This window comes from Homo sapiens, chromosome 4, assembly GCF_000001405.40.
Source record: "Homo sapiens chromosome 4, GRCh38.p14 Primary Assembly".
Taxonomy (NCBI): domain Eukaryota; kingdom Metazoa; phylum Chordata; class Mammalia; order Primates; family Hominidae; genus Homo; species Homo sapiens.
In genome coordinates this window covers 23,220,050-23,238,899 of record NC_000004.12, presented here as the reverse complement: position 1 = coordinate 23,238,899, position 18,850 = coordinate 23,220,050, and the positions used below count along the sequence as shown (strand labels likewise).

The 18,850-nt window shown below is 35.9% G+C and overlaps 1 long non-coding RNA gene across 1 annotated transcript in view, besides 2 other annotated features; it reads right to left on the bottom strand.

Annotated features, from left to right (window-relative positions):
* Positions 1-18,850, bottom strand: part of LOC105374524 (uncharacterized) — a 507,306-nt gene that overhangs the window by 265,938 nt on the left and 222,518 nt on the right. The window lies entirely within an intron of this gene.
* Positions 3,294-4,493: an enhancer, noted in NCBI's record as "CDK7 strongly-dependent group 2 enhancer chr4:23236030-23237229 (GRCh37/hg19 assembly coordinates)". NCBI's record gives its function as "activates an origin of replication core promoter dependent on BRD2, BRD4, P300/CBP, MED14 and CDK7 cofactors, with strong dependence on CDK7, by STARR-seq in HCT116 cells {active_cell/tissue: HCT116}" and the evidence as "EXISTENCE:reporter gene assay evidence [ECO:0000049][PMID:35650434]".
* Positions 3,847-4,047: a silencer, noted in NCBI's record as "peak5011 fragment used in MPRA reporter construct". NCBI's record gives its function as "represses an SCP1 promoter by STARR-seq MPRAs in K562 erythroleukemia cells {active_cell/tissue: K562}" and the evidence as "EXISTENCE:reporter gene assay evidence [ECO:0000049][PMID:32103011]".

The window sequence follows — 18,850 nt, the reverse complement described above, 5'->3', positions numbered from 1 at the left end:
GTATTGAGATGAGAAAAAGACAAACTCAGGTCAGGAATTTTGGAAGAGAGAGGTTCTTAGACCTGTGGCAGATATAATGAATATGACTATAGGGCTTCTATGACAACAACTGAAAGTTAACAAGAGTATAAGCCTATAAAACTCAACAATATAATAAGCTCAACTTGGAATTACTTGTAACTTTAATATTTTACAATTGATATTTTATTTTTTTTCTTTTTCTTCAAATCCCCAAGAGCCATATTAAAAACTTTAAACAAGTGTGAGCTGGTGTGGTCAGCCTATAAGAAAACACATGGAATTGGGTTAAAAACTGAGGTGCTGGGCCTCATTCTGCTGCTATGGCCTTAGGAATATTTATCTCCCTAAGCTTCAGTTTTTTCATCTATGTTGTAATATGCTAGTTTAGATAATATTTAATTAAGGTGCATATATTTCTACAAACTAAAATCAATAAATGTATTCTGAAGTATTCATGTCCTTGGACAGAACTTTTCACATTTATAACTATGCTGACAGCACCAAGACTAACAGTTCCTATTGTTCTAAAGTCCTTACAAGCATTAAAATTTGTTAATTCTATGAAATCAACTTAACCATTACCACAGCATTTAAGATAATTAAAAACTGAGTATATTATGTTTGAATTTCTAATAAGCAAGCATGTGACTATAAAAGATGATAGTCCAGAATTATCTTTCCAGAAACTAATGAGAGGGTGAAAAGAAAGATAACACTAAGAGTCTACCTAACATAGACTACCATGGTGGTTACAATCCCACAAAGTGCTTTCTACTGACAGACTTCATATTAACACTAATATTAAATCATTGCCAGGATTTCCAACCAGATGGTCAGCAGTCACGAGCTCCTTGCTGAGCAGCTCTTGAAAGGGTGCCAAAGCAGTGGTGTGGTTCTCGTGATCTTTCTGGATATCAGCCGTGTTTTGCCCTGTGTGACTTATGTCCCAGGGACAAACACCAGCTGCAAATGGTCAAAGCACAGTCATTAGGCTGCAATACCACATGACCAGAAATTGCTCTTTGAGATGAGGGATGGTGGTAAATGCATATAATTGTCCATATTCCATAATAACAATCTACCTATTTATTTAGATTTAATAAAATGCCTTTCAGATACCATAATGTCTAGTTACACTTTGGCAGAAATCTAGAGGAATGGGCAACTTTGTATTCACCCAGGTTTATGAAACCAAATTATTCTATTTGTCCTATTTGTATTTGGAAAGGTATTTGAACCTTCTTACCTGACTTTTGTGGGCATATTATCAGGCTTTTAAGAATCTTAGTGTCTTAGATCATTTAATACTTTTGTTCCTTTGCTAGAGTCCTTTCAAGATGACTTTGTGCTATATGCCTCACTGTGAATCAGACATGGTGAATTTTGATTCCAAATTTTGTAGCTTAAGTGAAAAGTGTTAATGAAATAATTTCTGAAACTTTTTCCGTTCTCTGAGGCACAATGGTGAATACTATAAGAGTAAGGGCAGCTTATCATATTACTTTTCTACTACTGATATATGACAGTTGAAATGGCTTTCCTGAGCCTCTGTAACATGAGTTGAGAAACCAGAATGAGTCTCCAGTAGCCCTGACATCTATGATTAATGCAAAAAATAAATAGAAGAAATTTCAACTTTGTAAACTTCTTGAGATGGCATATCATTTGTCACAAGACTTGAAGGTTCTTGAAGATTCTGAGCTATTGAAGGTAGGAGAGTGAAAGAAGGTGAGGATGTGTACATCTATTGTTTTTTATTCATGTAGCATTTAAATAAGATTAATCATATTTCTCACTACAAATGCGATTTTCATTTTAAAAGTATTGAAAATTATAGAATATTATAATAAGTAAAAATTACCAATAACTACCAAAACCAATATAAACATTTGAAATTTTAAAACGGAAGCCTCTAGTCTTTCTTCTCTTCCAACACACACACATATACACATACTCATTTTTATCGTTAACAAAACTGAGATATCTCCTTAGTGTTTTCAATCTGATTTTATCATTTGGAATTCACCTTGAATATTTTCTATTCCATTAAATATTTTTCAGCAATATGAATTCAAATCAGCATAGCTTGTGCTTTCATATGGACAAACTATAATTTATGTATTCAATCTCCTTTTTGTGAAGTTAGTTTGCTCCCAAATTTTACCACTACAAATGTGAAATAAAGATCCTAATAGAAAAACACTTCTGCAAATGTCTCATTATTTGTATATAAATGCCCCCAAATTAAATTACTAGGTCCAATGCCAAAACTGTTTTTTTAGGACTTTGAAACAAATATATTGGAATATTCTTTGAATATACTTCATATTAGAGCTATAGAAAATATCGCTTCTAAGAGTGCAGAACATTATGGACAAGGAAAAAAAAATAAAAGCTGCTCCAGACAGAGTAAATAATTTTCCCAGCAAGCATTGTTAGAACTTGAGATTAGAGTCATAGTCTAAATGTCAATTCAGTGTCCTATGTCTTTCTCTTTCCCTCTGACAAAGAGTTTCCTTTTTATTACTATATTTTTAATAATAAATTGGGGAACTCCAGAAGAAACATGCTCCTTGGCTCTGTCCCTCCAAGGAGAGTGCAGTGGAAAGGAAGTCAGTACGCTGTAGCTATCTGTGTGCCAGCATGGGACGGAAACAGACCCAGACTCAGCACTCCTCTCATGCTTTCTGAAGACAGAGCTACTGGAGTAAGACCGTCCTTTCGTTCCCCTGAAGCTATCTTATCAGCTTCTGCTCCTGATCCCCTGTGGATGCAGGGGAATTGTTAGCATAAACCCTCCCATCAACAACTCAGTCAGCTGAAGTGCCAAAATTAAGCTTCTTAATTTAGCACTTTGATTTGAAAACCTTCCTCTCTCACTTCCAAGTCAGGTATTTATAAGAAGTTTTCACTTATCTAACAGAGTCCAGCCTCTTCCAAATAACTTCCTCCTCCCTCTGGGAAGCACTTATTCAGAAGCTTGCCTCCTGGAGCAATGAAGAAAATCATTCCTGTGACAAAGGGCTTCAGGAATTGCCTGAACTGGAGGGACTCCAAATGAGAGGACCTCGATTTCATCAAATGCAACATCTTAAGACAAGAGCTACCCAGGGAATTCACTAAAACCATGAACACCCATGTTTGTTGAATACCTGTTATGGTATGTCTGGCACTGCCTGGGGGCCTGAAATGAGAGGCTTTAAATTGGAAATTCACAAATGCTGCCCACTCACAGCTTCTGTGTAAATCAGAGCCAAGTGAAGTGAAGCTAAAAGAGACATTAGAGATAATCTATTTCAATCTTTCAAAGATAACGGTATCTTGAGCTTACAAGTTCTGCATCTTCTATATTGTAGCCTTATGGGAGATATTCAATATAACCATCCCAGGGCTTAGCCATACCCCAAATGCCCTTTCAATTACTAAAGAGAAATGAACCATTTTTACTAGATGTATGTTGAATATTTCAGTTATTCTCATCTGAGAAAGTCTAGTAGTGTAGTGTATCTAAGGCATGACTCTGTCAGAATGCTTGGTTTAACCATTTCATACCTACACATAAATAAATAGGTATTTCTGTATGAAAAGTTGAAACTACTGCCACAGTCACTGTCAGCCTTTGGGCACAATCATTTTGTTAAGTTCACAGGGGTTGTCTTAATGAAGAAAAAAATAGATCAAAGTTATTGAATATATGAAAGTGACTTTTAAAACAATAAAGCACTCTTTCTACATGAGATTAGTACTTTGAACAAAATTAGAGTTAAAGGACAGTATGTTTAACCATAATTATTTACCTTACCTGTTGCTCATTTATCAGGTTCATCATATAAGGATCAATGATCATAATGAGCTGTGAAGGTCAAACTTGGCCAACCATAGCGGGATGTGCATTAAAAAGATCAGAATGCTTTGACGCAGCGTGGAGTCAGAGAAAGTGCTTGGAACTGGAAATCAAGATACATGAGTCATCGTTCCAGTTATGCCTCTTCCTATTTGGCCTTGAGCAAGTCACTTCCCTGCATGAGCCTTTCTTCCTTTGCTCTGTGAAATGAGGGCACTAGAGAAGGTGGTCCCTTATGTACCAGTGTGGGCTAAAGGTCTACTGGTACTTATAATAGGAAAAAGAAAGAAGGCAGAGATCCTGTTCTGACATTTAAGAATGAACAAGAAGCCCAGAAGTTTCCCAGAATGGGAAAGAGAAATTTGATTAAAGACAGGATGCATCATTGAAGGCAAAGTAACTGTGCCTCTGCCCATTGCTGAGCGACAGGCTCCACGGGTGGCCCTGCTGGCACCGAGAAGGCGCAAACTATATTTGCAGTCAGCATGGAACAGACTGCAGGTCAGAAATGAGCCCTGTTAGCCACACTTGAATGATGGGACAGCAGCTTTGTCAGATGTGTCTGGTGTTCAGTGTCGAGAACAGTGATCGGCATATGCTGGCCATCTTTCCCATCTCTTAATATTCTAGATGCTCAGAAAGAATGTCCATAGCTTAAGGATTTAGAAGTCACCTGCTCAATGTGCTCAGATTTTGCCAGGCAATTTTGCTGTTCAAATGCAAACTTCTATTACTTGAATGTTGAAACACACTCCTGGTCCTCCACTGTGCGCCCACCTCTTTGTATTGCTAAGCAAAAAAAACTTAACTCTTCTTTCTCAGGCTCATTCCTGAAATTCCTGCTAATTTCGGTATCCTGGTTTGCATCCCTTGGCACTGATAACAAAGAGAAGCTCTATTCTCTTTAATATAAGTCTGTTCAAAAGGAGCCCCTAATTATCTACTCTTAGTTAGAAATCTCTGTCTTCCTATGTCACCTGAGCAGCACAAATTTATATGGAAAAACATTTTGATGAGAATTCAACAAGCATATCCTATTCCCAAACTTATATACAAATTTAGGAATGAAGGAAGAGAAAAAAATTAAAGTTACAATAAAATATGAATGAATGCAACTTTAAACAAGAATACATAAGTGAAAATGCAATTAATTTTTCAAAGTTACAGAATTGTGGAGCTGACAGGAATTTATGAATCACCTTATCTAAATCCCACAGTTCAGAAACTAGGAATCTGTGGCTCACAATGATAAAAGTGATCCACTCATCATCAGCTAGCTACTTTAGTGGTAAAATCAGAATTCAGAGTTTAGTTCCCCATAGCTTAGGTATTCTAGTTTCAGTTATAGAACCTTCAAATGGAGCCCGTGACTTTATTTATGTAATGATTTTTTAAAAAGTAAGACAATAATACTTTTAGGGAAAATTTATAAGTTACTCTTTCGGGTGAAAAATGTTATATCGCTTTATATTAATTTTACGTAAGTGGACTTTAAAAACAAAGCGGATGTTCCTAAAATATATACTTTTTCCCATTGGAATTGTATAATGAGGAGTTCACATAATTAAAACTTCTCTGGCATGTATAATAAAAAGCCATCTACTATCTAAAACTACGAAGCAGGACCCTGAACATTTTTCTCCCTAGAGAGCTTCAAAAGGGTATAAGAAGCATGGGGCAGAGAGTGGCCCAAAGATTGGAAGAGAACAGGGTTTAGAATAATAAGGATAGGCACCACAAAAAGAATTCTATATACAGTGATCAAAGATTGGATAAGTGTAACCTGTCTAGTCATCTCATGAATATGTTGCAACTTATTCTGGAGATTTGGAAGGAAAATGTGGATGAATCACTACAAACGCATCACTACAGCTGGAAAACCAAGCCTTACACAACAGAATGTAACGTGTAATCACCACTCACCTATATCTCTGATACATGTACATATACACATAACAAAATGAACTATGCAGGATAATATTTATTGTCAAAATAATTATATAGAGAGAAGGGAAAGACAAGAAAAAGAAGGAAGAAAAGAAAATAGCATTTGAGTAGGATGCTCTGTGGGCCCAGCTATTTTTCTGGAAAATTACGTTTAAATTTATCAAGAAGCAGGTGGAACAAATAGTGTTATTCTCACTTTACCAATAAAGAAGCTGAAATTAAGAGAGATTCAAATATCTGCTGTAGGTGATAAAATCCAGTAAATGATAAGAGTCAACTCAAACCCACATATATCTGACTTTAAGAGGAAAAAGATTCCTATGAACTAGGATAGTTAAGAAAATTTTTATGAAATTTGACTATGGCCTAGTAGAAGAAAGATTAACAATCATTCTTGAAGAATAAGCATGAGATTAAGTATAAAAAAAGATAGATAGGTAGACAGACAGCTAGATAGACAGATTGACAGACAGCTAGACAGACAGAAAGAGAAAGAAAGAAAGAAAAAGAAAGAAAAGAAAGGAAAAGAAAAAGAAAAGAAAAGAAAAAGAAAAAGAAAAGAAAAGAAAAGAAAGAAAATTCCTTGGGAAACTAAGCTGCTGGTTACAATTAAATTTATAATATATACCTCAAGCTTCCACTCAAGTTAGTTTTCTTTTTGGAAAAGTGTTACCCTTGTCTAAGAAAAATGGAGATCAAATAAATTTCAATTTCTAACGTCCATGTTAAGAATATATTGTGGAATGTGGAAGAGGACTAAGTCTAAAACGGCTGCCATCATCCTCACCTCCTGGAGTTCATGTCTTTGGGTAATGGCTGCCCCTTGTGTGAGGGTGAGACCCTTGACTTATTTCTAACTAGTAGACGGTAACAAAGTTGTTGAGATGTCCTTCACATAATTATGTTACATTTTATAGGACTCTGTCTTGCTAGCCCACTAGATCTTACCCTCCAGCTGTCCTCAAAAAATCCAGCTGCCATGGTGTAACTGCCTATGAAGAAAATTGAATGTTAGAGAACTTGGACACCCACTTGGAGCTGAGAGTCGCTTCCAACCAATAGCCAGCAAAAAATAGAAGCTCAAGTCCTACAGCTGCAAGGAAATAAGCTTTGCCACTAACATATATAAACCTGGAAGAAGGTCCTTCTTCACTGGAGCCTCCAAATGAGAAGGGAACCTGTTTACACTTCGATGATGGCCTAGTGAGACCCTGAAGCAGAGAATCTAGCTAAACCATGCCCAGTCTCCTGACCTACATAATCTGTGAGATAATAATTCTGTATTGATTTAAGCCACTAAATGTTTGACAATTTGTTATGCAGCATGCTCTTTGATACTGGAAATTCTGAGTTTAGCTATTAAGGAATCTCCTATCTGATGCTATTTATTGTTTCTAGTTGCAGTTCTAACAGTGATGATTCTTAATGGCAATTAATAAATAATAAATGAGTTAGCAATTTGCTCAGCTGTTGCTAGCATGTGGCATTCATTGGAGACAGTTTCCAGGACTAATTCCTCTCAGTAGCATCTCTGGATAATATCCCTCCACCAACCTCGTGTTTCTTCTGCCCTCAAATAGCTCTTGGTACTTGCAACTGTGGCCCTTTTATAGCCACCATTAGGAAATAAGTCATATCAGAGTCCCTGCTTAACCAGGGTGACCATATAATTCATTGTCTAAACTGGAGCACTCTTAAGAGGGAAAAGAGCACTATCAAAAATTAAACTGGAAAAACAAGCACAAATCTGGACGTCCCGGGTGAGACAGTGTGTATAGTCATCCTATACTTGATACTCTTAGGTCTGCTTTATTAATAAGAGCTATTAAAAAAACCCCACAAATCCAAAGTTTTAGGATTTGTTCTGAACTGAGAACTTCTAATGACATCACACTTAAAGCTACAGCATACATTGCCTATGACTACATTCGTAATTCTTTTCTGGAAGGACTATTTATTGCTAGGCAGTGGACCCTTGGTGCAGAATAAAATGACTGGAATATATTTGGCACCATTTATATCTTTTAATGGGATAAAGGTATGGCTAAGGTTTCTCCACATAATGGGCAATGTTGGTGCTCTATACCACAGTGTAATTACTACTAGCCACCAACTAGAATGATAGAAATAAAAAGATTTACAATACTACATGCAGATGTGGAGTGATTGGAAATCTCATATGAAACTGGTGGGAAAGCAAAATGCTTTAGATACTTTGGAGACAAGTTGGGGTCATTCCTTATAGGCCAAACATATACTTTCTGCACTACCCAGCACTGTCAATTCCAGGTTTTACCCAAGACAATTAAAACATGTGTCTCCACAAATATTTGTAGACAAAAATTCACAGCAGCTTTATTTACAATCGTGGAAAACTAGAAACAACTGAAATTGTATCAACTAAAGAAAAGATAGGCCAATTGTGATGTCATCATATAATAAAATGCTGCTTAATAATAAAAAGGAACAAACTACTGACAGTTTGGAGACTCTCTCAGACTAACTCCTGACCAAAATAACCAGACAGAGCAACCTGAATTTACCTAAAGTTCAAGAACTTGAAAGAAAAGTACATAGAAACAGGGGTTGTTTCTGTGGTACAGCTAAAAGGAATTGTTTTGAAAGAGACATGAGGATACATTCCGGAGATGTGGAAATGTTTCATATTGTGAAAGGAGTGCTAGTTAAATAGGTGTATTACCTTGTCAAAATTGTACAGTTAATATTTGTGCATTAAAAGGCATGTAAATCTTACTTTAAAGGACTATAAAAATGAGCAAGATAAAAAATACCTTGTTCTGAATAGAGTTAATTTTAAAACCACCTGAGTATTTTTCTCTATATTGGCAATATCTTAGTATTTTAAATAAAGGAGATGACAGCCCCAAAGTGCTACATGTAATTAGAATCCCTTATAGAGTGTTATTCTGGCCACTAGGTTGAAAGGGACATTGACATAAAACATGTCCAGATCAGGAAAATCTGAATGACCAAGAATCTGACAATCATGTTTTATGTAAAATCATAAAGGGGAATGGGTTCATTTTTCTAGGAAAAGAGATTAGAGGAACCGCAATAGCTACCTTCTGATATTTGAGAATTTGGAATGTGGAAATAAGGACATACTCTGTGAGGCCTCAGTAGGGTAGAGCCAACAAATAGGATAAATTTTAATGCATATGAAACAGAGTTTTGAAACAGCTGTACTGCAGAGGAACAATCGGCTTGGTGAAGTATCACGTTCTCGCTCAGTAGAATATCAAACAGAGGCTTCAGCCATGTTTTGTCCTAGATGTTTCAGAAAGAATTGCTACATTGGAGGAGGAATGGTCTTCTCCATTTCTAAGAGATTATGATTCTGTGTTGTGAAAGCTTGAAATCTAAGATTTCATGGGTTTTAAATCTTTATAGGACCCAAAGGTGGTATATGATACATATTAATCAGTATCCACAGAATAAAGCAAAAACACTACTGTTTCATTAAAAATTTCACAGCAATGGCTTTCATTACAAATGGAAAGTGTGTCTTTAAGATACACCAAACTCTCCAGACCATGCAGCCATACAGTCTCCATACAGTTACAGATGTGAAATAGCCAAAATAGCTAAAATATCCCCTGAAACTCCCTGAAATAACAATCAGATTCACTGGCTCTTGAGTAATCTTGTACTCACATTTTCCATTTTTGTATGTTGTTATTGTTTTTTCAAAACAACAAAAAAAAAAACTGTTTTAAAAATGTGTTTATCTCAATAGATGAATGAAGATACCATAATTTGTTCAGCTGTGAAAGAGTTTCAGAGGAAGTGTTATATGAGCCCTATGAGAAATTATTTTTACGACAGAGCTGAGTGGTTTTCAAGTTATAGGGCATTCACAGGAATTACTGGATCCAATAAGATTCATTTTTACATCAAACTCTATGTAATAGGGAAACATTTTCATAATGCTGTAGACCTTAAGATTGATTTTTTTGCATATAATTCAATTGGTGAATTGCAAATGCTCTATATTCTTCCTTGGTCTTCCTTCATATTCCTTCTTTTAACCATGTCAATGTGATTGTTAGAAGATCCTTAACCAGAAGGGCATAGGCTGAACAAAAGAGCAGTTGTAAAAATCAGTTCAGATATTGCTCTCATAAAATTTTAGTGAAGACATTTGAAATTACTGGTTGTATATTTTGTATCTCCACACAGACTTTCCTCCATTTGTAGATATAGTTGAAAGTTATCTGTGTATGAGTTCCATAAACCACTTTAGAAATTAGGATATTTCTTTGCTCCTGAAACTTAAAATTTTATTTTGTGTTTTTTTAAGTTTTCTGCACTTGAATATTCAAAGAAAAAAATCATGAAAATATTTTAAGCTATTAACAATGAGTGCAAGATTCTCTTTAGATTCCACATAAAATACAATATTCTCTAGTCCTGTGTGTGTGCCTTAAACAGCTGATACATTTAAACTTATAAAATTATCTCTGTAAAATCTCTCATTCAGAAAAAGAAAAAAGAAGTATGTTTCACTACCAGCAAGTAGATCTTAGATTTGAAGTAAAGAAGAACTTCTGTGGTGGCGAATATTGGATAAATTTTGGGAAAACCTAGATTAAAAAGTTTAAGAAAATGTTTTAAGCCTTATTCAAATACAGGGTACATTTTTCTTAGTGAGATGCTTTTCTTGTGGTCTTACAGGAAGCCAAGGTAAGCTTGATGAAATGGCAGCTCCTTCTAAATTCAGCAAGGCTATACAAATAATTCCAACCCTCTTTTCTTTAAAAAGTTGTCTGGACTTAATTTCCCACATTTGTGAAATCTTTATGATGTTAATGATGAGTTCTCACACGCATAATAGTGTAAAATACCACTAGACACAAGAAAGATTGCCATCAGATTCTACTTTGCTATTTCCAAGAGGGTTTCCCTAAAAGCTGTTCAGAAGGTCTGACAATTATATCACAGAAACACAACACAGAAAGGCAAAAAATAAAATCACCTTTCAAAAGCTTAAAAGAATATCTGAATAGATTTAGATGGTTTAGAAAGTTATAAGCACATTGAAGCCACATTGATTTATATTCCACTACAGTATTGTGAAATTTGTAATGACTACTTGACAGGTAGATCTGGAAAAAAGTTTTCATGTAATTAGGTAGTATAAATAAGATTGCTGGGATAAATCAACTGTACAAATTAATTTTGAAATATTAATATGGAGGCAAATGTTTGGCCAACTTCAAAGGCACCTAGTACTCAATAGGCTCAAATACTTACATGTAATCTTCCCTACCCAAACCTGGTTTTCCTTCAGTTTCTTTGAATTCACTAAATTAAACCAGCATCCATCATTCCTCAATACATATGTCATTGTCAATATTCCCATAATTCCCCATATCTAACTCTTTAACAAAGTCCGTTCATTTCACATAATAAACAGCTCTCACACCTATGTCTCCTGACCACCACTACCATCCTCCAGATGCTAGCCCAAACTACTGATATTCTTTTGCCTACACTTTCACAATAATTTTCCATTTTCCTTTCCCAATCTTTTTAACTCACAACAGCTAGAAATAGCTTTTCAAAAGATTACTCCAATCTATACCTCTTAAATCCTTTACTAACTTCTTATTGTCCCTATGATCATGATAGACATCTTCGAAGTCATCTATAAGACCAACATTGTGTCCTGTCCAACTCTTTATCCTTTACCTAGAACCAATTTTCTCCTAACTTTTGGGAAGGAAGATTTCTCTTCTCATACTAGACCTGTTTCCCTGTGGAAGATCCTGCACTTCAAATAACATTCCTAGCCTTTTGTGCTACCCCTACTCATTCTGCAAGTGAATGGGTGGGCGCCATTGGTTCTCATTTCTACCTCTGTAGAGTTTATCAAATAAAGAGATAGCATCAGCTGGGCTCCGTGGCTCATGCCTGTAATCCCAGCACTTTGGGAGGCCAAGGCGGGGAATCACGAGGTCAGGAGATCGAGACCACCCTGGCTAACATGATGAAACCCCCTCTCTACTAAAAATATCAAAAAAAAAAAAAAAATTAGCCAGGCATGGTGGTGGGTGCCTGTAGTCCCAGCTAGTTTGGAGGCTGAGGCAGGAGAATGGCATGAACCCAGGAGGTGGAGCTGACAGTGAGCCAAGATCACGCCACTGCACTCCAGCCTGGGCGACAGAGCGAGACTCTGTCTCAAAAAAATAAAATAAAATAAAATAAAATGGATAGCATGAATGATTTTATCTCTGTTCTTCCATCTCTTTTGTTTCCTCTCCTCTTCACATTGATCCTAAGTAGGTGTGCTTTACCTGCACATTTGACTTTCATTGGATTATTCTGAGGTTTAGACTGGAGGAGGCTGGAGGAGGTAGCACGTTAGAAGACTTATTTGTCCCAGATTTTAGCTGATCACCCAAAAGAGTGATCAAGATGACTAATGAAGCTCATATTTTGATCTTCATTTACCTGCCACCTCTGCCACTCATGATTGGTTTTGAGGAAGACACGTGCATTCTAACCCTGTAGCAGGGTATTCTTTATTCTCACCATTTCAGCTTCCTCTCTCCTTCTAGAGATTATTTTTCATGTTGTTCCTTCTGCCCTGGACACACATCTCTTCTTTTATTACCTCTCATAACACAGTTCAAGTTTTTCCTTCTCTCTCTTACCAAAGCAAACCCTCATTTTATAGGCTCTGTCAATAGGATCATGTTATCATAGTTGTGAGTTCTTAAGTTTTTTGTAACAATTTGAGTAGAATCCATTATTTTCACTATTCTAGAAGCCCTCTGAAAGCAGAGGCTATATAGTTTTGTTCATCACTGAATCCTCACTACCTAGCACAGTGCCCCTTAAATATTTGCTGATTGAATGAATAAATAAATGCATGGGAAGCATTCTTAGATAATAATTAAAATAACAACAAAAAGTCAATTTGATATAATCCTTATAACTCTGTACACTATGAAGTTTATCAAATAAGCCAAACTCAAAAGTTGGAAAGAACGTTGGGTGAATTTATATTCATCAAATATTTCTTAATTCAGACTTTTTATTTAGCATAGACCCCTTCCATACACAATTTCATATTCGCAAGTTCTACTTTATGTTAATAATTAAATATGAGGAATGCCAAAGGAGAGTGCTAGGGAGTACTTCATCAAGTGATTCATAAAATATTTGCTAAGTGCCTACTTTAAATTTGGATAAATTGCTTAACTTCTGACAGGGAAGCCTTACTTCTTGAAAACTGAAGATAAAGTCTGTGTCATATTATGACCATTGGGATTAAATGACATAAAGTACTTTGTATTGCCTGCATATCACCTGTTCATTGTAGGTCCTCAGTGACGTATTTTTCTTATTTATTGTACACACTGAACTTTCTCCTTTTTGATCTTTACAATAATCAGGCAACAAAATATTTATTTTCATTATCTTTATTTTACATTTCAAAAATGTCAAAGAGTTTAAGGGTTTTATCTAAGTCACCCAGAAATTATCAGCAGAATCCAGACTGAAAAATCAATTCTAATTTCCTCTGTACTATATAATTGCTTTTAATAAAGAATATGTGATCAGAACTTATAGTTATACAACCTAAGTCATATTTTCTATTTATCTCTTGACATATTCTCCCCTTTTATTTGCAGGTATTTTATTTAACATGTTGGGGTATTTTCTGAGTCTTTCTTCTGAATGATCTTTGCCTTTCCAGATACTCCATACATAGATTTTTACAATCACCACCCTCCCACTTCCTACCACGATGTTACTCAGATGTCTTATATCCTCCTCATTGCTTTCCCAAATTTTCCTTGGCATCTCCTTCTCTGTGTCTTTAACAATGAGACTTCCTTGTTATGCACTGGCTTAATTTATGTTTGTTTTACACAGTAGTCATTGCCAAGACATCTGGTTCCTTCCCATCATTAAAAACACGTGGGAAGAAAGAATATTCATTTCTCAAATTGTTACAATTAATAAATTAGTTGAAATTTCCCATTATTTTCTGTTCCTTTTGTTCTAAACTTATCTACTATCATTTAACGTTTTCCTGCCTGTATCTTCCTTCCTTTATCAAACATTTAATGAATACCTCCTATGTTTCAGATCCTTACCTTGTTGGATTGGAAATGCAAAGATGTTAGATGATAGAGATAGATAGAGAGAGAGAAAGATAATTTTGCATATTTGTGTACATGTATGTGCATATATTGGGCAGGGTGTGTGTGTGTATGTTTTTCCTGCCTCCAAAGACCAGAAGGGGAAACACATCATTATGTTTGAAAATATCAATGAAAACAAAGTACAATCTAGTTCTTTCTCTAATTACCCTTAAGCAGTATCTATTTGGTTGAACCTTATGAAATTGCCAATAATCCACTGTTTGCGATCACCAAAAAATGGCCATGTGGCCATTTTTTCAACATAAAGCATTAAAACCATTTGTTAAAAAGTGAAAGATGTACTTCCCCAGTTTTTTTTTTTTTTTTTGGCCATTATGAACTCAGATAACTGAATTATTTCACTTTTTAAATAAATGAATGGAATTGACCTATTTGAAGGCAGATGATGAATTAATGGTATTGACCTAATGTGGGCCTCACGCAGAAGCATTTTAATTTAAGCAAAATTCTTTTTCAATGCTACTTTTCTCACTTATAGATGTTAGTTAATATAACGCCAAAGGATGGTGACCTACTAATTGGCCACCTGGTCTTGCCCTCTTCAAGTGGAGTATAGTGCAGAGAAGTGAGAATTCTGCCTGACTGCCTGTGTAACACACTCACTCTCTCGCTCCCCCCACCCTTGCCCACCTCACCTCTCTCTCTGATTGTGCTCCAAGGCAAGCTTAAGCAAATGGTCTGTTTCCACAGTCAAGCAACATTTATTCTAACCAACATTTACCCAAATCGATACATTTTAATTGAAACTAACGGCAGTTAGCTTAAACCAACAGATTTTTCACTGGCCTAAGTACATTAAATCAATGTATTTTTCAAAATTGCCATATCTTATGTAAAACAATGCATTTTCATTTCATCCAGGACACATTTTTATTCCACTCTAATCTGCCAAGTTAAAGAGTCAGACTGAAGTAATAGACTTCTTTTTTTTCATACCAGCCCAAAGATCTTGAATGAAATAAACATATTAATCATTCAGATATATGAAGTCGGTTTCATTTGGTTTAATGTAACAGACATTTATTGAGCACCTACTGTTTGTGAGATACTGTGTTTGACATTCTGGGGGGTACAAAGTGATTAAGATAGAGTTTCTGCCCATAGAAGCTCATAATTTAGTAGTGAATACCATGAACAGGATTAATTATAACATACAACAAACAGCTAGAAAAATGTGATGGAGGAAGACATTAAGTGTGACTAAAGGATTCAGGGGGAGATGTGAAGAAGGTGGCATTTAAGCTCATCTTTGAGCAATGGATAGCTCTAGTGGGAAGAGCATGCTACACAGAATGAATAGATTGAACAATATGTTAGTTATGTAATGCCAGCTACTACTGCCAATGCATCCTACATTTTCAGTCTCTTAATAAAATAGAAATTAATTTGTCACACACATAATAGAGCATGGTGGTTGTTTCTGATGTAGAATTAATTGTTCTTAACTTGACGATTCTAAGATGAAGGTTCTTTTAACTTGTGACTCTAACATCTAGGACTTAGAGCATTCTACATTTGGCAAGTAGAAGAGGAAAGAACTTGGAGAAGGCACAACTGCTTCATAACAGCCTTAGCCAAGAAAGGGTACCAATCATTTGTGCTAATATTCCATTGGTGGGAACTGGTCTTATTGTCATACCTTGATGCAAATGGACCGGGATACGCAGACCTTTCCTGGGAAGCCACATCCTGTGACAACTGTATTCTATGGAAGGAGTAACACGAATTTAAGTGGACCGCTATCTACTTTGCTGCAATAAAAGACGGAGTGAGAAATACAAAGGGTTATAAACGTGGCATGGGGAGCATCCGCAGAACATTTTAGAAGGTAGGAAAGGCAGAGTATAAAGAGTGTTCTATACCATCTCAGTGTTAAATTTGCACATGAATGGGAGTCACTTAATGTTTTTGAAAGAGAATATTTTCATAAACCTAATTATTCACTAATGTCTATAGCAAAACAAAACAAAAACATAGTACACAGGAAACAATAAAAATTCTGTACTAATTATGGGTGTTTACCTCATCTTTTTAGGCCTCAGTTTCTTCTTCTACAAAAAGAGATGGTTGGTATAGCCCCAAGATTTTTGACTTTAACATTTTCCTTAATAAACTAACCAACTCCTTCTATATTAATAAGCATCTTCATATATATATATACACACACACACATACACACACACATCATATATATGCCATTCCATATATTTACTGGCTTTGCCCCTGCTATCTATCTATCTACCTGGTTTGTATTTATAATACATATGTATATAATATATATGTATATGTGTGTGTGTATCTATATACGACCTTTATAGGACTTAATCTTTCTTGGTATCAAGTAGGGGAATTAAATAAAGCAGAGTAAGAGAATTTAAATAACAAGTGGTCAGGTCAGCGCTCCCTGAAAAGATGACATTAGACCTGATACTTACATGAATGGAGGGAGAAGAGAAAGATATAGAAAGAACAGGGGGAAAGAGGATTGGTCTAAGAGAACAACCAAGTATAAAGGGCCTGACACTGAAGCTCATGGTAAGTGGACACAAAGCAAGGAAGTCAGTGTTACTGAAAGGCAAAGAATAATAAGAATCCATCTGTATTGGCAACCAGGAGTGAGATTGTATTTACTCTTTTGCTACTTGAAAGAGTTTTCTATTTTCTGACTTGTAAGAGGATATGTCTAAATTAGGTATTAATGCATAACAACCACTCTAATATGTATCAGCCTAAATCAACAACTATTTATTATTTTCTTTTAAGCATATGGATCGGCTAGGCAGTTCTGTCAAATTGTGCTTGTCTTTGTTCAACTAGGCTGGGTTTCCTCATACCTATGCAGTCAACTCATGAATTGGCTGGGCCTAGATAGTCTTGGATAGCCTTTTCTGGGAAGATTCAGCTCTCCTCGAAATATCTCTCACATTCCTCCAACAGGATAACCTGGGCTAGTTTTCAGAGCAGAAACAAGGGTTCTAGAGCAAAAACAGAAATATACAAATGCTTTTAAGATTTTTGCTTGTATCAAGTTTGATTTTGTCCTGTTGGCCTTGGCAAATTGTACAGACAATTTGTCTGTACACAGAGTCAGTGTGGAAAGGAACGCACAGAGGATGTAATCAGGTGTGATACAAAAATCATAAAAATTGGGCTATTAGTTCAATCAATCTATCAGTTCTCCGTTCTGTTCTCAATTATTTCTTGTGTCTTCAACATGCAAAACAAGATCACAGTATCCAAGGATCTCAAAAGATTCTAATGATCATGGCATCAGGCTTGGAGTCCAGAACTTTGTGGTCCGTCTCACACCTGGATATGTTTTTCTGATACAGTTCCTCAGTTTATTGTTCTCTATGGCTTTTGACTGTGCTCTTCAGAATTGCCACCCTTTTCCATTGGCCACTTCTGAAAGAGTATTAGGAAATAATCCCTTTGGAAGCTTTCTTCATCCTAGTGCCTGCCTGTAGTAAGTTGAGAATCCAGTGCCTTTCAATAATGTCAAGCTCTTTTAGTCCAACTGAAGGCACTTTTGCTAATGTAATTCCCTGAATAATTTGCGGGGGGGGGGGGGGTGGGGGTGGTTAATGCATCTGATTTGAGTTCATATTAACTCCAAAAGCCATGCCACAATGTTTTTCAAGACATGTCTTACTTTCTCTTGGCTTACCATTACTGTAGGATCATGCTTCTGTGAGAACATGCCTTTAAGATTCTTAGAAGCACGTTTGTTGATCTTAAAGAAGGTGTTAGGCACCACTCCAATTCCTTCTTATGGATACACCCTTAATTTAATCTCTGCTCCAGGCTATATTTTACTTTGAGAATCCCTTCCCTGCAAAGAAAACTACAGATGAGAAACACTTAGATGAGAAACACTTTTATTTTTCCGGTATAGGAAGTCCTCATTCTGCTGGCAAACTAGCCAGATCTTTTAAAATCTTACTTCTTTTTTTGTAGTACCTTATCATAAATAAGTAGTAGAAGCAACTCTTCATAAGACTCTGACTCAAATCTCAAAATTTATTTTTATCTCCCAAGTTACAACAGGCAACAGTTTAACCATTTTTTTATAATTACATAGTATAGGTTACCATTTCCCAGCCTTCTATAGCAACTCCATTACTCTATCGCTGTTTTGTTTTGTTTTGTTTTGTTTTTTCGTCTCTTCTCACTACCTGATCCCAAAGCTAATGTCACATAATTTATATTTGTTATGGCAGAACCCCCCTTCTTGTACTGAAAATTACTAAAAAGGGTTTAGTTGGGAAAACAGAACCATTATAAGAAAAATGGGAATAAGGGATTAAATCTTACATGGTTGTGTGATAACATAGGGAAGTGAAGATCTATAAAAAAGAAGAGGATAAGAATAAGAATCACTCATTTAAATCTTGTAAGCCAAATACATCTCGATGCCAAAGTGGTCCCATAAAGGGAAGCTTGTGGAGAGGGCTATGGAAACTCTGCTACTATGTAATTGCTGCCAGTGTGGATCTACAGGAGGCACCTACGTCTGGGTCTTCTGTTTGTAAGCAGAGACAATAGTTGAGAAAAAAAATGCTAGACATAAAGTAGAGGGGAGGGAGGAAGTGCATGTCTGCCACAGAGTCAGCATTTCTATCTGACATAGATTAGTTATGTATTTATTCAGCAATTATCAAGCAAGTACTGAATGACAAGCAGTCATTTCTTAGCAGTAGAGATCATGGATATGAAATGCAACATTCTCTTACATGAAGGTGCTCACAGTTGGACAAAGAGAAATGAGAAAAGCAAGAAGCAGCATAATGCTAACTGTGAAGAGATTAAGAGATTAGCACAGGGCTAAGAGAAGACATTG